This window comes from Homo sapiens, chromosome 11, assembly GCF_000001405.40.
Source record: "Homo sapiens chromosome 11, GRCh38.p14 Primary Assembly".
Lineage (NCBI taxonomy): Eukaryota > Metazoa > Chordata > Mammalia > Primates > Hominidae > Homo > Homo sapiens.
Window position 1 is genome coordinate 17589331 of NC_000011.10, and position 22467 is coordinate 17611797.

At 53.1% G+C, this 22467-nt stretch overlaps 1 protein-coding gene across 2 annotated transcripts in view, besides 2 other annotated features; it reads left to right on the plus strand.

The window, feature by feature from the left end:
* Positions 1 to 22467, plus strand: part of OTOG (otogelin) — a 98786-nt gene that overhangs the window by 42072 nt on the left and 34247 nt on the right. For both annotated transcript variants that reach the window (NM_001277269.2, NM_001292063.2), the window contains 12 exons: positions 2120 to 2258; positions 3863 to 3997; positions 4280 to 4426; positions 4717 to 4836; positions 6708 to 6824; positions 7521 to 7677; positions 10341 to 10367; positions 12880 to 13047; positions 16527 to 16805; positions 18966 to 19083; positions 19800 to 19879; positions 20325 to 22093. In NM_001277269.2, coding sequence (NP_001264198.1) covers positions 2120 to 2258; positions 3863 to 3997; positions 4280 to 4426; positions 4717 to 4836; positions 6708 to 6824; positions 7521 to 7677; positions 10341 to 10367; positions 12880 to 13047; positions 16527 to 16805; positions 18966 to 19083; positions 19800 to 19879; positions 20325 to 22093 — 3256 coding nt within the window. The remainder of the gene's footprint in view (positions 1 to 2119; positions 2259 to 3862; positions 3998 to 4279; positions 4427 to 4716; positions 4837 to 6707; positions 6825 to 7520; positions 7678 to 10340; positions 10368 to 12879; positions 13048 to 16526; positions 16806 to 18965; positions 19084 to 19799; positions 19880 to 20324; positions 22094 to 22467) is intronic.
* Positions 12802 to 13301: an enhancer, noted in NCBI's record as "H3K4me1 hESC enhancer chr11:17623679-17624178 (GRCh37/hg19 assembly coordinates)". NCBI's record gives its function as "activates a minimal SCP1, AML or CMV promoter by ChIP-STARR-seq in primed H9 embryonic stem cells {active_cell/tissue: H9 hESC(primed)}" and the evidence as "EXISTENCE:reporter gene assay evidence [ECO:0000049][PMID:30033119]".
* Positions 15236 to 15737: an enhancer, noted in NCBI's record as "H3K4me1 hESC enhancer chr11:17626113-17626614 (GRCh37/hg19 assembly coordinates)". NCBI's record gives its function as "activates a minimal SCP1, AML or CMV promoter by ChIP-STARR-seq in primed H9 embryonic stem cells {active_cell/tissue: H9 hESC(primed)}" and the evidence as "EXISTENCE:reporter gene assay evidence [ECO:0000049][PMID:30033119]".

The window sequence follows — 22467 nt, forward strand, 5'->3', positions numbered from 1 at the left end:
CTCCTCCCCTCTTATTCTCAGCTGATGATACTGCTTCCTGTTTCCCTGAGGAAATTAAAGCCATGAGAAGAGAACTTTCCAGGCTCTGTACCCATGTATTTTGCCCGTACAACAGATGAACTAAGTGTCCGTGTTCCTATCTAAAGTGAAGTTCCTTCACTTGTCCTTTGGGTCCTAGCTCCTCACTTGTCCACCTAAGGGAACCACTGCAGCATCTCTCCCTCTTTTCTCCCATATAAACAATTTGCATTCTCTACTGGCTCATCCCTATTGCATAAAAATATATCGTTTGAAAAACTTCCAACCTCCTAGGAACTGCTCCATTTCTCTGCTCGCCTTTTATTGCAAAACTCCCTGAACACTTTTTCTATACTTGCTGTTTCAACTTTCTGTTCTCCCGTTCCCCTTTAAGCCCTTTCGGTCAGGCATTTTCCCCATCATTCCTTCGAAACTATTCCTACTAAGGTCACCAGTAACTTCATATTGCCATATCCAGTTAGCCTTTCTCAGTCCTCACCTTCCTAGACCTGTGGGCAGCATTTGACACAGTTGATCACTTTTCCATTATTCCCTCCTTCTTGATACTTTCATTCATGTGGCTTTTGGGACACCACCTCCTCTTGCTTTTCCTCCGACCTCTCTTCCTGTTCCTTCTCCGCTTCCTTCATTGGTTCTTCCTCTTCTCCAACCTCTTGATATTGGAGCAACCCAAGAGACCTCTCCTCCTCTCTATTTATACTTACTCCCTTGGTGAACTCTCCCAATCTCATGGCTACAAGGCCCATCCATAGGCAGAGGACTACCAGATTTCTACCTGTAGTCCAATCCATGCTTCTCAACTCTAGGCTCACACATCCAACTGCCTACTTGACATCACCATACGTATGTCTAATGGAGGTCTCAAATTCAACATGTCCAGAACAGCACATCTGATCTTCCCCCTCAAACTTGCTTCTCCCTCAGCCTTCCCCATCTGAGTTGATGAAGACTTCATTCTCCCAGTTGCTCAGGCCAAAAAACCTGGAGTCAACCTCGAGTCTTGTCTTTCACTACCTATATCCAACCTCTCTGCAAATCCCTTTGGTTCTACCTTCAAAATACATCCAGAATCTGACAACTTCTCACTCTTTCCACTGCTGTTACCCTGCTCCAGGCTGCCATGATCTCTTCCCTGATGTGCTGCAGTAGCCACTCAGCTGGTCTTTCTGCTTCCCCTTGACCGCCTTGAGCTTAGGCTCGGTGCGGCAGCCAGAGTGGAACATAAATCACACAGTGTCATTCCCATGATCAAGTCTTCCAATGCCCACCACCCCCCATTCCTAGCAGGAGCTAACCTTCCTACAGTGGCCTTATTGGACCCATGTCACCTGACCGTCCGTCGCCCCTCTGAATTCCTCTTCTACTCTCTTGCCCTTGCCCTCTCCATTCTAGCCATGTTGTCTCCCGAGTGTTCCCCACAGACTTTGGAGAGACTGTACCCTTTATTTGAAATACCCTTCTTACAGATGCCCATGGAGTTAACTCTGTCACCTCCTTTATGTCTCTACTCACACATGCCCCAACCACCCTATTTAAAATTGTAACCCACTCCACCCACATTCCCAGTGACCTGTATCCTGCTCCCCCATAACACTCATTGCCTTCTAATGCACTATAGTACATACTTGCACTGCCTTATTATTTTTTATTTAGTGTATCTCTTCTCCCTCTAGAATAAACATTCCCAGAGGCAGACGGTTTTCTTTTTGTTTTATTCACTGATGTATCACAAAATTTTGGAAGAATGCCTGAGATATGGTAGGCACCTAATATTTGTAGAATGAATGGGTAAGTGAATGAATGGAGTGGTAAAGGGAGTGTAGACTTTGGAGTTAAATAGATCTGGGTTAAATGTCAGGCCCATTATTTATTGGCTGTGTTTCATAACCTCTCTGAGCCCCTGTGTCTCCTGCATGAAATCACAATCCTGCCCTCCAGGCTCCTGTTAGAGGTTGGTGTTTGTTGACCTCTTTGCCGAGGGACACAGTGCACATGCATTCGATAAGCCATGGCTCTGTCATGAGTATTCAGGTATGGGGTGGGTGTGCCCTGTGATCTGGTCTGGGCATGTGTTTTTCAGTGTGTGCCAGCGGGGCTCATTCCAGTGCACCCTGCACCCTTGCGCCTCCACCTGCACTGCCTATGGGGACCGGCATTACCGCACGTTTGATGGGCTCCCGTTTGACTTCGTGGGGGCATGCAAAGTGCACCTGGTCAAGGTGAGTTCCCGGATGTTTCTGCCCAGTTGGCTCCATGCACAGCTGTCAGGGCACTCTGGTGCTCTGGACTCCAGTTTGATGCAGAATTGGGTGATCGGGGATCTAAGCCCTGAGGTGGGGCTATCTAGAGACTGGAAGAAGTGCTGAGGCACAAGCTCAGGGCTGGATGGAGCTCACCAGTCCTGAGATACCACACTGCCTGTCTGCTCACCATTATAATCTTGCTCTGTTGGGTCCCAGTGCTTTTTTCTGTCTATAATAGCAAGAGCTAATGCTTTTTGAGCTTTATTATGTACCTAGGGGCATATTGAGCCATATTTTGTGGATTATTTCACTTAAATATCACAGCAGCTTTACAAGGTAAAGTTTATGGATCCTATGTTATAGATGTAACAATTCAGGCTAAGGGAAGTTAGGTAACTTGCCCAAGGTCACACAGCAGTCAGTGGTAGAGCTGGGGTCAAGTTTGACCAAGAAATCTGACTGGAGAGTTGGTGTGCTTAAAGGAGTCACAGGTTATAATTTTCGGCTCACCTGGAGGAAGAAAACTGGTGATGTGGGGGGCACAGTGAAGGCAGGATCCCTACCCCAGGAGGAATGGGCACTGATGTGGTGGAGGAGTGTCACCCAGGGGACCTTGGGTTTGCTAATAGCCTATCTCATCTTATAAGAGTAACATCAATAATAAAAATAACATGTAATAATAACAATGACAAAACCTTTTATGGAAGGAATCCTACCTATAGGGCAGGCACTGTACTGGGGTCTTTCACATAATTGCAGTAACTCTACAAGATGAAGATAATTGACCTCATTTTATTTAAAAAGTTTTAAAGGTTAATGCAGTGTATATTAAAAACAGATATTCCCCTTCCCAATTCTTCTGTTCCTATCTCCTGTTAAATAACCACTCCAGTCAGGGATGAATCCTGCAAGAACTTTTTTCTGTGAGACATGGACACACACACACACACACTTTGTTTAGTTTATGTGAATAAGATTCTACAATGTGCTTTTTTTACTTAAGAGGATACCTCGGACTTGATTTCATATAGTTGGTACACACTTTTTTCTTTTGAACAGCTGTGTAGAATTCTACAGAAATAATGCCCTCGAGTTTGCTTTATTTTTTCCCCATCGATGGACATTTAGGTTGTCTCCAATATTTAAATGCAGCAGTGAATACCTGTGTGGATGTATCCCCAGGTTCTTAGAAGTAGAATTGCTGTATAAAAAGCTACATACATTTAAAATATTCAATGCCAGCAAATTCCCCTGCAAAAAGCTTACACTAGCATCAAGGATGTATGTGAGACAGTGCCTCTTCCCCATACCCTATCAACACAATCATCCCTATTATATATTTATTAATACATTCATTCATCAGATATTTTGGGGAGTCACTACATGTTAAACACCGCACTAGGCATCCAAAACCAGAACAGCTTCAGAGAACAGAAGTCGCCCAAAGTCACACAGCTCAGCTAACACAAAGTAGAAGTGGACTGAAAGCCACTCCAGAGAGCGTGTTCCTCCACCTCTGTACCTCTTGGCAGGATCTCCTTTCTCCCTTGTTTTATTGGACTCACTTATTCTCTCCTCAGAGCACATCAGATGTCAGCTTCTCTGTGATTGTAGAGAATGTGAACTGCTACAGCTCTGGCATGATCTGCAGGAAATTTATTTCCATCAACGTTGGGAACTCACTCATTGTCTTTGATGATGACTCCGGAAATCCTGTAAGGCTCAGTGCCTGTGAAGGTTGTGTAGACAATTTACAGGTTACCAGGGTTGGGGCAGAAGAGGGCTGAGGACTGGCTTCCTTACCATAGCAGTTTCTCTTGGAGAGCCACTGAGTTAGGAGCCCAGACTGAATTCCTCTTGGCCAGGGTCAGGAACACAGAGGCCAATGTCAGGGTATGAGGGAGGCAGAGGCATTGGTGAGGGCCTGGCTGCAGGCATAGCTGACCTGGGCGCTAGGGGGCACTTGGGCTCAGGACTGACCATCTCTGTCCCTCTAGAGTCCAGAGAGCTTCCTGGATGACAAGCAGGAGGTCCACACATGGCGAGTGGGATTTTTCACACTGGTGCATTTCCCACAGGAGCACATCACCCTCTTGTGGGACCAGAGAACCACAGTGCACGTCCAGGCTGGGCCTCAGTGGCAGGTACTTACATGAGCAGTGACATTCTGCTCCTGCCTGGGGCTAAGCCAAGCCCTGGGTGTCCTTGGGTGAGCTGTACCCTCCCTGAGGAGCCAAGAAGAGCATGCCTCTGTTCTCTCCTCCGCCCTGCTCTGGGCCCCTTCTCCTCTGACATTGCTCCATCCCTCTTCAAACTGTGACCTCAGCAGTGGCTTCTAGGTCTATGATAGACTCCTGGGCTCATGGTGACCCCTCTGCCCGTGGCTCACCTCTGGCAGGCCTGCAACTGACCATGGTGTCCTCTCTCCTTTCAGGGCCAGCTGGCGGGCCTCTGTGGGAACTTTGACTTAAAAACCATCAATGAGATGAGGACCCCGGAGAACCTAGAGCTAACTAACCCCCAGGAGTTTGGCAGCAGTTGGGCTGCAGTTGAGGTAAAGCCTCTCTTCCAGGCTGGCTTATGCCCCTCACTCAGATGGGCGCTGCCAGCACTGAACCCGGCCCAAGGTCAGGGAAGAGGGATGCTGGTGTGAGGTTTCTCCTGCAATGTTCTCTCAGCCTCTGACTGCATCCCTAGCCCTAGACTCTGTCCTATGGCCCAAAGATCATGCATAGTCTTGTCTCACAAATCCAGCTGCCCACCCTACCCTGGACCAAGCCCTGGTAGGGTGGTGGAGGGTTGGGAAGGTGACAAAGTCTGTCCCAGGAGAGATGGTCACTCATGATGATGCTTCCCAGTGCCTGGCACTAGGTCTGGCACAGAGAAGAGACCAAGAGAGACTGAGGTGGGTTGAGGCAATCAGGGAAGGCTTCCTGAAGGAGATGAGAGTGGTGCTGGCACTTAAAGGCTGGGCCATGCTTAAATAGATGAATATATCAGAGATAAGGTCTCTGAGAGGAAGGGCAACACTAGCAGAGATAGAAATGAGGGGGTCTGCCCAAAGGACAGTCTGCGAGATGTCTAACTGAGGCTGCCAATCTGTGAGCTGTGGGGGAAACAGCACTGAGTTGAGAGCAGTAGACCTGGGTTCTTGTCTTGGGTCATCCATTGACTTTCTGGGTGACCTTGAGTAAGTCCCATTCCTCTGCAGAGAGGGGACTGGGCCAAGAGAGGGCTGATGAATAGATTTCACTTCATGTGACAACTCTGATTGGTCAAAACAGACTGCTTGGGAGCTATGTTGAGAAACATCCAAGATCTGTGTCAAGCTCAGCTGGAAGGAGGACTGTGATCGATTATTTATGTCTGCCATAGGAGCAGCAGTGGAGAGTGGTGATATGAGCGTTACATATTTGCCTCTCCTGGACTTAGTGATCTTAATGCCCTGCTGGGAAGTACACGGAGATGAGCCTATGTAGACTGGGGTAAGGGAAGCAGTCGTGCATGGCCTGGAGTTCAACTGCTCCAGGTGGGGCAGGGCTGTTCCCACAGCCTCTGAAATCCTGAGGTGGGACAAGGGTTCCCACAGCCTCTGAAAAGTGCGCCCTAACACACCCCCATTTTAGAGAAGCTCAGTGGGTGACTAACCCTTGTTCTCCCCACACCCCCATGTACATCATATTTCTCTCTTGCTAATCCCATTCGGCATACCATGGGGTTCCCCAGTGAAAATGTAGTCTAAGGAAGGAGATTCAGCAGACATCGGAAACATCTGTATTAGTTATCTACTGCTATATAAAAATTTTATGAGACTTAGTGGCATTAAACAACACACATGTATTATTTCAGTTTCTGTGGGCCAGGAGTCAGGACACGGCCTGACTTGGTTCCCTGCTTAGTGTCTCACAAGGCTGCAATCAAGGTGTCAGCTAGGGCTGGGCTCTCATCTGGAGGCTCTACTGGGGAAGGAACTGCATCCTCATCTGCTCACATGGTTGTTGATTACATTCAGCTCCTTGCAACTGTAGGGCTGGGAGCTTCCATATTTTGGGCTGGCTTTTGGCCAGAGACCACCCTCAGCTCCAAGAGACCACTGACACTTCCATCCATGTGGGGTCCCCCAGCATGGCTGCTTGCTTCCTCACAGCCAGCAAGGGAGAGACTCCAGCAAGATGGGCTCTGGGATCTCATGTTGGGAATCATGTGATCACATACACATGGCCACGTCCATCCCATCACCTGGGCCATATTCTGTTGGTTTGAGGCAAGGTATAGGTCCCTTCTACACTCAAGGGGAGGAGATTTTACAAGGACCTGAATATCAGGGGGCAAGGATCATGGCGGCCACCCTAAAATCTGTCTGTCATGTCAGGCAACAGGCATTTGGCAAGTAGGGAGGTCAACAGCCCTGCCTTTGCCCCTCAGTGCCCAGACACCCTCGATCCTCGGGATATGTGTGTCCTGAATCCTCTCCGAGAACCATTTGCCAAGAAGGAGTGCAGCATCCTGCTCAGTGAGGTGTTTGAGATCTGCCACCCTGTGGTGAGTGTACCCCAGCCTCGGCTCCTCCCGAGTGCCCCCTCCACTGTCCTGGGATCCCTTCAGCTCTCAGACTCCCCCATGTCTCAGAGGAGACAGCTCAGATCTCCAGGGAAGATCTGCCTCTGCCATTCCCCTGCCTCCAGCCAGCTCAGATGAGTCCGTCCTATTTCCCCAGATGACCAGGCACAGACAGCCAGGAAAACAGAGCTTGTGCCCTTTTCAAGCCCATCTTGATCTGGCCCTTCCTCCTTATCATGAAGTTCTTCTAAATGGTGGACCCAAAGCCCTCATGCTGAGGCACCACCTATTGCCTGTTTTGCTTCAGTGCACACAGAGGAGGCTGGGGCTCAGCACTGCATGGCACCCTGCAGGCCTTGAAGGCTGCTGTCAGATTGGCCTTGGCTGTCTCTGGCCCTGGCTAGGCAGTTCAGGCTCTACTCCTGTTCAGCCATTCTTGGCTCCTGGATCAAACAGCCCAGACTAAGGAGAGAAGAGAGCTTAGTTCTCAAAAGTGGACATCTGCCTGGACCATGGAGTTCTCGCTTCCTTGTCCTTCTCCCTTCACACCTCATGAGACAGGATAGCTCACCCTATCCCGTGGTCCCTTCATGTTGGTGCTGGTCGTCATCAGCTGAAAAGATGCAGATCTGACATTTGGGATCTGTCCTCTGACCTCTAACTTCTGACCTTCTCCAGGTTGATGTCACTTGGTTTTACTCAAACTGCCTGACAGACACATGTGGCTGCAGCCAGGGTGGTGACTGTGAGTGCTTCTGTGCCAGCGTCTCCGCTTATGCCCACCAGTGTTGCCAGCATGGGGTGGCTGTTGACTGGCGAACCCCCCGCCTCTGCCGTGAGTGTCCCAGACAATCACCTGAGGGGACAGAGTAGAGTGTCACCTGTGGGCATGCCCTAGGGGTACTGGCAGTCTGTCTAGCATTTACTGAGTACTTAGAATGTACCAAGCACCAACTGCTTTGGGCGTGTTATTCATTGAATTCTTACAACTACCCTTTGAAACAGGGCTATATATTTCCTATTTTACAGTTGAAGAAACAGCCTAGAGAGAGAGATCAAGTAACATGCTCAAGGTTAGTGGAGGAGCCAGGGTTCATCCCTAGAGAGTCCAATGCGAACCCGAGCTCATAGCCACTTTGTTAGAAGAGTCAGGAGCCTAGACCCAGAGCTACCACTCGCAAGCTATGTGACTTCAAACAACTCACCCAACCTCTCTAGGGCTCAATTTTCTTGTGTGAGAAGCAGGAATAGACCTGCCCCCAAGGTTGACTCTGAGGACCAAACTGGGTGATGAATATAGAAGTCCTTTGTCAGCTGAGGTTTGCAGGTCCCATCAGAGGCAGCACAGATGATCAGTTTATTCAGAGTAATGGTGGTCTGCAGATGCTTTTCATTGCACACACCTATCAAGTAAAATCATTTTGTGCACATACATATGCGTACATAGATATGCATCCATAGATATACTCCTCAAGTAAAATATGTAAACAAATTTAAAAATTAATATTTAAAAGATGAAAGAAAATATAAAGAAGGCTAAATTCTTCATTGATTATTTTTTATTTATTCCCACGCACCAAAGGATTTTCCTCGTGCAAGCACCTCACCTTGGGGTGCGATGGCCATTACACAGCCTTGCGCTCTGGGGTCAGACTGACTGAGTTTGGCCCCAAGCTCCACTGAGTTGGCCTGGGACATATTCCTCACACTCTGAGTCTCTTCGTCTGTAATAGAAGGGTGAAGATAACTGCTTCTACCTTGTAGGGTACTGTGAGGTTTAAACAAGGCATTGCATGTACAGCACTTGGCACAGTGCCCTGTGCTAATGTGGGGGTTGTTGTCATTTTTTCATGGACACCCGGTACTGACATGTCCAGAGCCCTGAGGCCTGCAGGCAAGACGCCAAAGGAAGAAGGTGGAGCAGAAGGACACTTGCTGAGGGTCCACTGTGTGCCAGGCCTTGTGCCTATGTGCATTACTTCATTTAATATGCAAGACTAGGGGGAGGTGATTGAGGTGCTTACCTGGGGTACAAAGTTTCAGGGGGCACCAAAAATGCAGTAATCAAGAGAAATAATGTTTCAATATAATATTTCTGTAAAATAAAAATTGCTGTAAAAATACTGTGATGAACAAACTATCAAAGGATCAATAGTATTAATGTTTCCTTTTGTCTCAGTCTCTACTCTGGCTCAGTGGGAGACTGTTAATGATCTTGTCTTTATTTTTAAATTGTAATATTTTATTTATCATGGATATTTTTGCATTAATTTTGATGTTTTAAAAATATTGCATTAAGATAGTATTTATCTTGATTACTGAGATTTTTGGTAGCCCCTTAAATTTCACATCCAAGATGAGCACTTTGCCTTACCCTGGTCCAGGCCCTGGCAGGTCTATGGGGCAGATGTACGTAGCGGTCCCACCTTAGAGGAGGGCACTAAATTTCACTGACGTTAAGTAATTTGGTCCAGTATGCACAGCTGATGAGTGAGGGAGGTGGGATTTGAACTCAGGTCTGACTCTAGAGAGCTGGCTTTTTAATGACTCTTCTCGGCTACCACCCCTTGACTGGGTATACCCTGGAAACCAGAAACTTGGAGATTTTCTAATTTTCTGGTTCAGCCTTCTGAGTCTGCAGATGGAGGGAGAGGCAGGCACGTGCCCCTAGCCACATGGCGGGCCTGTCTCCTGACTCCTAGTGTTCTTTCTGGAGGGTGACCCCAGATGCATTGACCTTGTGGTCTGGGGTGTGCAGTGAGTCGGTGGCTCTCTTCAGACCGTGCCTATGTGTGAAGCATGCTGCTCCTAAGCTTTATCCCAGGTCTATCCGCCTGGCTCCTCATGGCTTTGCTGCTGGCTTTAGGGGTCTCCTGCAAGGTCCCAGGCACACCTCAGTGGACTGAGAATCTGCAGCTGAGGGGCTAGGGGAACAGGGTGTGGTGCTGGGGATGACCACTAGAGGGCAAGCTGAGCTCACGCTTGCGGGAGCTTCTCACAGCTCGGCTGGTGGAAGCGCCTCTGCAGTGCAAGGGGCTTGAAGAAGCCGGGGATGCTGGGGGCTCCCGGTCCCCTTCCCACCGAAGGCTCTTGGAAGACCAGCCTCCATCTTGTGCTTGCATTCCTCTGGGGGCCTTCCGCAACATTTCTGATTAAAACTCCCACTCCTTGGTTCTAATCCTGCTCTTTGGCGCCACACAAAATACACCTGCTTCTTTTCAACATTCATTCGTTTGTTCATTTACTTGACACATCGCTGAGGTGCCTACTGTGTGCCAGTCTTTGAGCCTCGTGCTGTCGGCCCAGAGAGGAGCCATTCTCTTTCCTCCACTTAAGACATCTGCATCCATGACCATTCCCAAATCTTGACATGTGGGAGGCAGGCCAGGCCCAGCACTTGGGGAAGAAGGGAGGCTGGGATGCTGGGAGCCTTGGCTCTGTCTGTCTGTTCCAGGCTCTGGGCTGGCTCTCAGGAAGTTCCTGTTCTCTCTCTTTCAGCGTATGACTGTGACTTCTTTAACAAAGGTAAGCCCCTCCTCCCCACGCAGAGTCTCAGGGGCTCAGGCACTGCCAGCCCTGTCCTGACGCCACACAGCATCAGCCATCCCGAGGCGCTGCTGGCCCTGGAAGAGCCGTGACCCGGAATGGGAGGGCCCCCATCATGCAGAGAGAGCCCTGACAGTGAAGGGCCCAGGGGTGTCCTGCACCTCTATCCTCAGCAGTTCCTGCAGCCCCTGTCCGGGGCCCAGGCAGGCCAGCTCCCGGGGACTGTGCTCGGCAGGGCAGCCCCACCAGGAAGGAAAAACCCCATTCTCACTTATGTGCCAGCTCCTCCGCCTTCATAATCTAGCTCATCAGGCCCACAGAACATCACCTTGGGTTCCCCGAAGATTAGCTTTTGGCAAAAGCAGACACAAACTGCCCTTTCTGACTATGGGTGGAACAAAACATGTGGCCTGCCACATTCATCTTCAAACTCAGCCAAGGTTGCAGGGTTCCGGGAGATGCTCTGACATTTAGATTAACGAGGGTGAAAACACAGGTCATAACCAAAGACCCAGGGGAGGTTAATGTCCAGTTTAGAGCCAATTCATCAATTTAATCACTGGGATTGGGTGGGTGGGGTAGAGAAGGGCTGCCCAGGAGTAGTTTTTAGCACCGAACTTCATCCAGTTGGGCCAGGGTCAGACCTTGGTAGAGTGAGATGCTCATCTGGTCCTCAGTGCTGTTCGCCTTTGACTTCCAATCCCCGACCCTCCTCCAGGGACTGTGCTGCCAGGAGCAGGCCTATGTGGGCAGAGGCCCAGACTTTTTGTCCTCAGTTGCCTGCATTATCAGATTTTGGCTTGACTGTGGTGGGTGAAGTGGAAAGGAGAGACTGGAGACAGGATACCATCTGGGGGCCTGCGAGATGACGGCCGGACCAGGGTGTAGCATGAGCATCCGCAGGACTGCAGTTCTGCCAAAATGCTAGTCCCCAGGGGCTCTTGACAGCCCCAGACCTTCAATTGGTAAAGGAATGAGCCTGCAATGGGGGAACTGTGGTCCCTGGGGCAGACAGGATCTGTCTGACATCAGGCAAGGCATTTCAGCAAGATGGAGCTGTTTCGTTTTCTCTCTTCCATGGCATTTTGGGTGGCAGTAACTGGCAAAGGACAAGCTGTTTCTAGCATCTTCCACCTACCCACCCACCCACTCACCCATCCTTGCTCCGTTCTACTAGCATTTGCTCTGGTCCGGGCCCGCCAGGTGTTGGGAAGTCAGTGGTCCCTGAGTCCTGCCACAGCGGTGTGTGGAGCAGGCTCACGCCGCCTCTCTAGCACCTATTGTGTTTCTAACTCCACATTCAGTTGGTAGTTTCCAGTTGACCCCTGGTGGGAGTGTTTACGCCATGGAAATCCAGAAGCCCTACAAACCACTTTTTTTTGTTTGAGATCTCATTGTTAGCCATTTGCCAGCACAGCCAGCACTGCTTGTCTCCCATCTAGTGGGGGTGACAGATGTGGGCCTCCCATCCAGATCCTCATCCGAAGAGCTGTAACTGGTGTGTGCCATGCTCCAAGAGCTGGTGGGGCACAGAGGAGGAGGGACAACATTTGCATGTGGCAGGAGAGGGTGCAGGGAGAGCTTCACAAGGAGGTGACATTTGAGCTGGGCCCCAGAGGTTGAGTAGGCGTTTGTCAGGCACAAAACGGGGAGGACTACTCTGAGTGGGTGGAACGGTGTGATGAGATGTGAGCTGGGAAATAACACCACTGCTCCTTCCAGGAAGAGCAAGAGAAGTTCAGCATGGCAGGAGCCAGGGCGTGGGGGGAGTGGGGGAGGTGGGCAGGGGCTGAGGGCTGAAGGGCTTCTGAATTCAAGCTGGGCTCTTTAGATTCTGTCCTGAGGGCCATGGAGAGCCACTGGTGCGTCCCACCAGGGGGCGTGGCTGGGAGGGCAGCTCAGCAGCCGTGGGGAGGAGGCATTGGGGTGGGGGGTGGGCACAGCAGAGGCAGGAAGATCCTTACAAGGTGATTGTCCAGGAAGCCCATGCTCTGTGCCAACCTATACTGACAACCACAGGAATTCTAAAGACTCAACAGTGACACGTGTTTGAAATAATTAGATAAACACTAACAGGTTTATTGTCCCTCAGGCCTGGGGTGGGCAGAAACCGGGTCTGACGTCTTCTTCCAGAGGGGACCTTGAATAGAGCAGTGGCTGTAATGGTGAAGTTTCAGGCAGTGGGAAGGCTGTGGAGAGACAATGGGGGGCCCAGGTGCTCCCTGTGGGTCGCCTTCTTCCTTGGCTCCCTGTGAAGTGACTCAGGCACTGTGCAGTGGGTCTGTTCCTTTCAGGGGCTGGCAGCCTGGGAATCCTGTCCCTTCCTTCTCAGGGTCATCAAGGTCCCTGAGATCTGGGATGAAGGACACCATCAAGAGTTCCTCCTTGGTAGCTTGCCCTCCCACCCCACTGCTGCCAAGGGGTGGGGCAGGAGGTATGGGAGGTGGGCAGGCCATGGGGCCAGGTTGCTGATGGGGCCTCTTCTCTCCAGTGCTAGGTAAGGGCCCCTATCAGCTATCCAGCTTGGCAGCCGGTGGTGCTCTGGTGGGCATGAAGGCGGTGGGCGATGACATAGTCCTAGTGAGGACAGAGGATGTGGCGCCAGCAGACATTGTGAGCTTCCTGCTGACAGCTGCTCTGTACAAGGCCAAGGCCCATGGTAAGGCCCATCCCAGTCCCACTCCAGCTCTTCTGGGAGGCAGGAGGGTGCTAGAGGAGGGGAGGGTGCTGAGGCCCTAAGTATCTGTAGTGGCCGGAGAAATAGGGGCTCCGACAAGTGCCCCTCTCCCAGTTGAGATGGTGCTTCTGGGTCAGCTTCTTCTCCTCTGCAGAGATGCTCTCCATCTGCTCCCCTAACCGCCAGGGCAGCCAAGGCCCAGGTGTGCCTCTGTACCTTGCTGTATGCAATAGCTGTGTTCCAGAAAAGCCAAGTGGCAGCTCTCCCTCCTCATGCTCCTCCTCCTCCTTCCTCTCTTCCTATCTCACCCTCCCTCCCTCTCTCCCTTCTTCCCTCCTCTCTTCCCTTTCTCCCTCTACCTCTCTTCTTGCCTCCCACCCTTTCACTGAGCCCTAATCCCATGCCAAGCACAGAGCCAGGTACTGGGAAATCAGGGATACAAGAGACAAGGTCCCTGCCCATCAGAAGCCCACAGTCCCATCGAGGAGACAGACGTGCCCAAAGGCGGAACACGGGGGAGGGGGCCCCCAACTCAGTCTTAGAGTCAGGAGAGCCTTGTTAAAATAGAGGATGTTCCCCTAAGAGTAAGAAGGAGTCAGGAAGGGAAACTTCTTTCTTACTTAGTAAGCTAAGCTCAGGATTTGGGACTTTATCCTGAGGGCAATGGGGAGCCATGGAAGGGCTTTGTGGAGGGGAAGGGACGTCCTGGCTCCTGCCCAGCCCCAGGCACAGCCAACATCCCTAGCTATAGGTGATGTTCACGGTGGTGTGAGCCTGGGTGAGGTAGGTGGTACCTGGCAGAATCACGTAGTTGCACAAGGAGGCCTGGGAGTGAGGAGTCAGGCACTGGGCCGCAGGACAGCTAGAAGCACCACCCCCAAAGACAGCACTTCCTCCCTAAACATTTCTGATCCCCAGATCCATGCATTCCTGCCTGACGAAGGGTGTCTCACCACCTTCCAGATGTGGCAGGCCATCTGCTTAGTGAGGCTTTTCTGTTCTCCATCCAGTATTTTAATCTAGTAGGTAATGTGTAGTCCAGAGGGGGTGTTGCCTTTCCACTAGGTTTATGGGCATGCTAAGCAGAACCCCGGAGTCACCTGGCCTTAGAGAACGTCACTGGGGGCAGGATGCCAGAGGGGCTCCAGTCCAGGCTCCGTCTCAGAGTCAGGCCTGGGTCTCATGGGCCCAGTGGGGACCCAAGCTCCTCCCTCTCCCTTCCCATACTGCTTCTCCTGGGCTGTGCCCAGGGTCCTGGGCAGCCAAGGAAAGGTGCCTTCCAGGTGGGACCTAGGGTGGCTGCATGGAGGAGGTGTCCCTTGAGTTGGGCCTTAAAGGATGGGAAAGATGGTTATGCGAAGAAGTGGAGAGCAGGAAACATCACAGAGGGGAGGACTCAGCAGTCACTGAGGCCCAGGCTTCCCGCTCTGGGGAGTCACCACCACAGCCTGACACAGGTCACCGGGGTGCTAGTGTTACCTGAAGATTTTTGTGGTGGGGAGGTTACTTATTTATTAATAATCATACGTTGCCCTTCTGTAGGACTTCTCATGTGCCGGCACTGTTCTAAGCGCTTCATGTATAGCAACTCATTTAATCCTCATGACAATCTTAGGAGGTAGGGACTATTATTTTCCCAATCTACAGATGAGGGAACTGAGGCCCAGAGAGATTAAGTGATTTACCCAAGGGTGCAGTGCTTGTTAGTGACAGGCGCCAGCCGTTTGGCTCCAGAGTCTTTCATTCAAACTCCTCTGCCATGCTGCCTTCCAAACCGAGGCATTAAACAAGAAATACAGAGGATGGCAGGCGAAGTCACTCGAATATTTACAGTACAGCCCCGGACTCTGCATCTCAAGGTCTCTGCCCTGTTAGGAGGACTGCAGGGAAAACAGTGGAGAAGCCTTGATCCGGGCCAACCCCGCCTTCTTGAAGGAGGAAGCCAAGGCCCAGGGAGGAGAAGTGACTTGCCTGAGGTCACGCATCCAGTGGAGCGGGCTGGGGCTGGGACTCAGTGCCCTACCATGCTGGGCTGCCCATGCCCACGCCTGCATCCCATGGGTGGGGCCAGCCATGTGGTGGTGAAGATAGCTGGGCTCTGGTCTCAGCCTGCCTGCATCCAGCCCTGCCTCCCTCATCCGCCGTCAGTGTGACTCTGGGCCTCTCTTCCCTCCTCTGTAAAATGGGAATTGTAATATCACCACCTTTTAACCTCTCATAGAAATTTATTCTCTCTCCACCCCACAGCCCCCAGGATGGTGAGCTCCATGAGGGCAAGAATTTTCATCATTTTGCTCCCTATTGTGGCCTCAGTGCCTAGAACAGGGCCTGGCCCACAGCAGGCACTCAGTAAATATTTGCTGCTGAATGAAGATATTTTTCACTTCACAGGGTTCTCGTAGGAATTTCAAAACCTGCAGGTAACCAGCTTGCTTAGCACAGTGCCTGGCACGTAGCGAGTCATGTGTAAACAGCAGCTGTGATTATTAACATGGATGAAGCCAGTCTCTGTTACCTGCCATCTTCTCGCAGCTTCCCAGGGAGGTGTGACAGGGACACTATCGTCCCTCCTGGGGACACAGGGGACACATGGAAGGGGCTGAAGATGCACCCACCCAGCACCAGGCTGTGCCAGGCGCTTCACACACACCTCGTTGATGATCCCTCCAACAGCCCAGGCATGAATGCGCTTGCCCACATCACAGCCAGGGTGGTGAGCTGGGATTCCCGCCCCATGCTCACTCCCTGTGCCTGCTTGTGGATTTGGGACTTGAGGAGACCCATAAGGCCCTGGGCAGGGGAAACTGCCCACCAGGCATCAAGCCCCCATGCCCTAGAACTGGGCAGTTATGGAGACCAGAGAGAGAGGACAGAGACAAGCTTTGGGTCTCTGGGCAAGCTCCTTTCTCTCTCTCTCTGGGACCCTCTCCCTATCTATGAGTTGGATGAAGGGTTGCCAATGCTGGCCCTGTGGAATTCTGTGAGGAGCAGGACCAAGCTGGGGACCCTATAGCTTGGCAAATCACCAACCTTCAGCGTGCCCCACATGTCTAATGCAATGCAACCCCATCAGGGCAGTTGCCTCTATTGTATTCACTGATGGATCCTGCGTATCTAGAATAGTGCCTGGTACATTGAGGGCACTCAAACATGTTTGCAGAAGGAGGGAAGAATGGAAAGAGGGGTGCAAAGGGGAGGGAAGGAGATAGTTCAATTACCTTCCCGAGGCTTAGCAGCTGGGGGGTCTCTAAGCCTCCGCTCGCCCTCAGGCAGAGATGGTGTGAGGGGCAGCTGGCAGGCAGAGTAGGTGGGCTGGGGGCTGGTGTAGGGGGCAGGGCCTGCTGGTCTGCAGGCGTGCTGCCATCCAGAGTCGCTGAGAGAGCAGATGTGTGCCAGGATGCTGTTCCCGCAGCCACCTGGACCTCTGCCTGTACTGACTCTCCCCATGTGGTTCTCTGCAGACCCAGATGTGGTGTCCCTGGAGGCAGCAGACAGACCCAACTTCTTCCTTCACGTCACAGCCAACGGGTCTCTGGAGCTGGCTAAGTGGCAGGGCCGTGACACCTTCCAACAGCATGCCTCCTTCTTGCTGCACCGGGGGACACGGCAGGCAGGCCTGGTGGCCCTGGAGTCCCTGGCCAAGCCCAGCTCCTTCCTCTATGTGTCGGGCGCGGTGCTGGCCCTGCGGCTGTACGAACACACAGAGGTGTTCCGCCGGGGCACACTCTTCCGCCTTCTGGGTAGGCGACCCCCTGCCATTGCCCTCGGCCCTTTGGCCCTCTCAGTCCACTGCTCTTCCCACCCTGTCCCCACTTCACCCTTCCAATTACCCCTAAGAAGCAGAATCCTCCTTCTCCTGGCACAGGGGCCACATGGGTGCCACCCTGAGATGAGAGGTGGCCCAGCCTCCATGTTGACAGCTTAGGGAGCCACGGACAGTGTGCTTGGGGTCCAGCCAATTTCCTGGGTCCTGCCTTCTGCCACAGGCCAATTACACTGTCTAAAAATATAGCAGCCTTTGTGGAAGTGAGGGGAGGTGTGATCCTGGCTGCAACATGCGTAGCCGCTGGCTCAGTTTTCTTGCTGATGAGGTCACATGTCTGCCCCATGAGTTCAAAGACTGCACAAGGGGGATAGGTCTGGGGGCCAGCAACCTCCTCTCTCAATGGAAGGCCCAAGCCCCTGGACAGGGATGGGGCAACTCCCCGACCTTCCACCAACGCCAAGGGGATCCAGGGCCTGCCCTGCCAGGTGTGTCTGTCCCCAAAATATTGTTCTCTGCCTAAACCCTGGAGAAGGCGATCATAATTTCTTCACTGTTTTCTCTGTCTTGCATGGGGCTTGGGGGTACCTGTGTCTGTGGGTGGATCCATTTGCATGTACACGTATGTAAATGTGTCTTCAGCCAGCCTCCTTATTTCATCACCCACCCCACCCAAGCCAGGGCTGGGTGAGCTCATTCTTCCCTTCAGCGGTCAGTTATCGAGTCTGCCCTTAAACTTGACATGGGACAGATTTATCACTGGCCATGATGACAAGACTTGCTCATGATGGGAGTATTTGTGTCCCTCTCCGGAAGACACTAGGGCAGAGTGGCATGAGCCCAGGCTTTGAAGCTGGACAGCCTTGAGTTCAAATCCTGACCCTGGTCCTAGACCCTTGGAGGAGAACCCTCATCTCCTTGACTTGGTTTCTTCACCTGTAGAATGGGGATATTTGTCTCGGAAGTGTGCTGTGAGGACTGGCTGTGTCTCGCGGGCTTTGCCTTGTGCTGGCACATAGTAGGTGCTCCCCAAATGTAAGTTAGACTTTTGGAAAAGCAGGTTTCTTTACAGCTGGCAGCAGTGTTCAGGTTAGGGCGTCTGGAGGAGCTGCCGGTGGGGGATGCTCCCTGGAGCCTGCTTCGGAGCCTACCCACACCTCCCTGTTCAGGCTGTGTGTTCAGAAACTGGTCACTTGTGCCAAGGTAGCCTGGGGTCTACTTGTCTGCCTCCAAGCCCCCCATAGGCTGCAGACTTTTCCCTCATTTGCCAAGGTGCTAGCCACAGGGCCTCTTTTGAGAACATCTCCTCTGAAAACCTTTCACTTTCTCAGCATCATCTGTGCCTGGGTTTCCTCTTCTCTAAAGTGGGGGTAATAATAGCGCCTACTTCCTAGGACGATGATGAGGTTGAATGAGTAAATCCGTGTGAGATATTTTGGGTAGCGCCCAGTGCTGTTTAAGAGTTAGCCCAGCCGCCAGGGCAGTGAGGGTGGTGCTCACACGACCTGCACTCTCAGGCCCTTCAGGGGCCCTCTGGGAACAGAGAGGGCTGAGTCGGGGGAATAACACCTCCCTTGCAAGCTCTCTGGGGCTAGGTGCCCAGGAACGCTTTGGGCTAGAGGGGAAGGGATCCCCCAGTGCCTCCCCTCACCCTGCAAAGGAGAGCCTCTTGCCTCCATGGAGGTCTGCAATAGCCCTGCTAGAGACAAGGCAAGGAGGAGGTTACTGTGTCCTGGGATGCAGGGCAAGCCTGAGCACCAGGGTCCCAGAGGGGCAGGGTGGGTGGCAGGGCATCCCAAGGGAGAGATCAGGGGTCCAGGCCTCTTCTTCGGTCACCCTTCGAAACCTCACTCCAACTGCCGGGGCCAGAGCTTCCCTGTCCTCAGTTCTTCCCTGTCCTCAGTCCTTCCCTGTCCTCAGTCCTGCATTCAGCTCCCAGAGCCCCGTCCCCAGGATCCCCCAGGCACTCACCCCAACCACCATGAACGCAGTTTCTCCTTAGTGTGGTTTTTTCCCCATTTGCTTTCCCTGCATGGGTCCATTTGTCCCCTCCACAGGATGGGGGGCAGGGCTGAGCTCTGGGACTCCCTCTGTGTCTTCACCTGACCCAGAGTTGCTGCCCCATCTCACTTTCTAGATGCCAAGCCCTCGGGGGCTGCCTACCCCATCTGCGAGTGGCGCTACGATGCCTGTGCCAGCCCCTGCTTCCAAACCTGCCGGGACCCACGGGCAGCCAGCTGCCGGGACGTACCCAGGTGAGATGCCAGGGGCTGTGGGCATGGAGCCAAGGTGTGTGCACTAGTGTGTGTGTGCACTCACATACACTTGTGTATGAGTGTTTCATATGTTGAGTGTATGGGGATGTGTGTACCACGGTAACTGTGTCTTTCCGTATATGCACATATGTCAGCATATGTGACTATCTATTTGTGCATGATGTGCATGCAGCAGAGCCTTGCGTGTGTTTGTGCGTGTACTACTACAACTGTGCATTCGTTGTACACAGCTGCATGTATGCAGGTGTTGTGTGCAGCTGTGTGCATGTGTGAGGGTGTATTCACTGATTTTTGTGGGAGTCTCTGTGGATGTGTTTGCATGTATATGTAAAAATTTTGGAGTCCTGCAGGGTTGGAGGGGGTACATGAGGCCATGTGAGAATGTGCCCAGGCAGAGACACATGTGAACATGTACATGAGTGTGTGCAGAAGTGTACCTTGCTCGTGTGTGTGTTTCCCTCTCGGTCTGAGGGGTAGAAGTGTGCAGGAGTGTGCCGCATACACATTGGGTGTGTGTGCTCCTGTACATGTGTGACAGCATCTCTATGGAGGGTCATGTGTGTGTACACGTAATAAGCACATGTGTGCACGCACATGTGTCATAAGAAAGGATAAGGCCTGTGCTCAATCGAGAGAAAAAGAGATGGCCCTGCCTGTATTTCAGGCCTTTAAACTGCTCCCTGCTCTGTCCTCAGGGTAGAAGGCTGTGTCCCTGTGTGCCCCACCCCCCAGGTCCTGGATGAAGTCACACAGAGATGTGTCTACTTGGAGGACTGTAAGTGGCCCAGACTTCTCATCCTTCCCTCAGATTTCCTCTAAGTCCCTAGGGTCTCACTGAGCAGTCATGCCTCAAAGCTCCCAGGTCCCAGAGAAGCAAGATCAGCACAGGGACCTTTGGAAAGAGGCACAGGCACAGGGGATGCAGAGGCCTCATCCGGTCTATTCGCCCCATTTCACAGAGAGGAGAAATGAGGCCCAGAGTGGGGTCACATGGTGAGAAGGTGGTGCAGCCAGACTTAGACCTGAGGTCTCTTGGTTCTGGGGTCAGGGTCTGACGTCTGGGGCGGAGTCCAGACCTGCTGACATCTGGCCGTTAGAAGCTGCCCTCACCCCATCACCGAGAGTGCCAGTCCTCAAGCCTCACACCACAGCCCTGCCCAGCAATGACCCCCGGGGCAGCAGTCACCCCGCCTTCTGAACCTCTTCTTTTGTCTCCGCAGGTGTGGAGCCAGCAGTTTGGGTTCCCACAGAGGCCCTTGGCAATGAGACCCTCCCTCCCAGTCAAGGGTTGCCCACTCCCAGTGATGAGGAGCCACAGCTGTCACAGGAAAGCCCCAGGACCCCCACCCACAGGCCAGCCCTCACCCCAGCTGCCCCACTCACCACAGCCCTGAACCCACCAGTGACAGCCACTGAGGAGCCAGTGGTGTCTCCAGGCCCCACCCAGACCACCCTGCAGCAGCCACTGGAGCTCACTGCATCTCAACTCCCCGCCGGCCCCACGGAGTCCCCAGCCAGCAAGGGAGTGACTGCCAGCCTCCTGGCCATCCCCCATACACCAGAGTCCTCATCCCTCCCTGTTGCACTGCAGACACCCACACCTGGCATGGTGTCAGGTGCCATGGAGACAACAAGGGTGACTGTGATCTTTGCAGGAAGCCCTAACATCACAGTCTCCTCCCGGTCGCCCCCTGCCCCTCGCTTCCCGCTCATGACCAAGGCTGTGACAGTCCGAGGCCATGGCTCCTTGCCTGTTAGGACGACACCCCCACAGCCCTCCTTGACAGCAAGTCCCTCCTCCAGACCTGTGGCTTCCCCTGGAGCCATCTCCAGGTCCCCCACCTCCTCGGGATCCCACAAGGCTGTGCTGACACCTGCAGTAACTAAGGTCATAAGCAGGACAGGGGTCCCCCAGCCCACCCAGGCCCAGAGTGCTTCAAGTCCCAGCACCCCTCTAACTGTGGCTGGAACAGCAGCAGAACAGGTTCCTGTCAGTCCCCTTGCAACCAGGAGCTTGGAGATAGTGCTATCCACAGAGAAGGGCGAAGCCGGGCACAGCCAGCCCATGGGCTCGCCTGCCTCCCCACAGCCACACCCACTCCCCTCTGCACCACCCCGCCCAGCCCAGCATACCACCATGGCCACCAGGTCTCCAGCTCTGCCCCCAGAGACCCCAGCTGCCGCCAGCCTGTCAACAGCCACTGATGGGCTGGCAGCCACACCCTTCATGTCCCTTGAGTCAACTCGTCCCTCCCAGCTCCTCTCTGGCCTGCCTCCCGACACCAGCCTGCCCCTGGCCAAGGTGGGCACATCTGCCCCAGTGGCCACACCCGGCCCCAAAGCCTCTGTCATCACCACTCCACTCCAGCCACAGGCCACGACTCTGCCTGCTCAGACACTTAGCCCAGTACTGCCTTTCACTCCAGCAGCAATGACCCAGGCGCACCCACCCACTCACATAGCACCCCCAGCAGCAGGCACAGCTCCAGGCCTGCTGCTGGGAGCCACATTGCCAACCTCTGGAGTCCTGCCTGTGGCTGAGGGCACGGCCTCCATGGTATCTGTTGTCCCACGAAAGAGCACCACAGGGAAGGTGGCCATCCTATCCAAGCAAGTGTCTCTGCCCACTTCCATGTATGGTTCTGCAGAGGGTGGGCCCACAGAGCTCACGCCTGCTACGAGCCACCCTCTCACGCCCTTGGTGGCTGAGCCCGAGGGAGCCCAGGCAGGCACAGCTCTGCCAGTGCCCACATCCTATGCCCTGAGCCGTGTCTCAGCCAGGACGGCCCCCCAAGACAGCATGCTGGTTCTGTTGCCTCAGCTGGCTGAGGCCCATGGAACCTCGGCAGGGCCTCACCTGGCAGCAGAGCCGGTGGACGAGGCCACCACAGAACCATCTGGGCGCTCAGCCCCAGCCCTGAGCATCGTAGAGGGTTTGGCGGAGGCTTTGGCAACTACCACTGAGGCCAATACATCCACCACCTGTGTTGTGAGTGATTTGCCAGGGTTCTGGCCACCCGTATGTGACCCTTCCCTTCATCCCTTCCTCTTCCCTGCTAGATGGAGTTTTAGTCGCTATCCTCATACCTGCCCCATGCTCCTGGTCCCTGAAAAATTCTTCAGTCTCCTATTGGCCCCTGATGCCATAGCAGGGTTCCGCCTGGCCCATCTAGGCCCTGGGGGGCTGATTGGATGGCCTAGTGTGATGCCCAGGTGACAATGTGTGTGTGCTAGTGTGTGCCTGTGTGAGACTGCTGTGTGTGTTTGTGTTCACATGTGTGAGAAAATATGAGCGCTCCTGTATCTGCATGTGCTCTTGTGTGTGTGAGGAATGGTGTTTGAGACATCCTCATGTGCATCTTT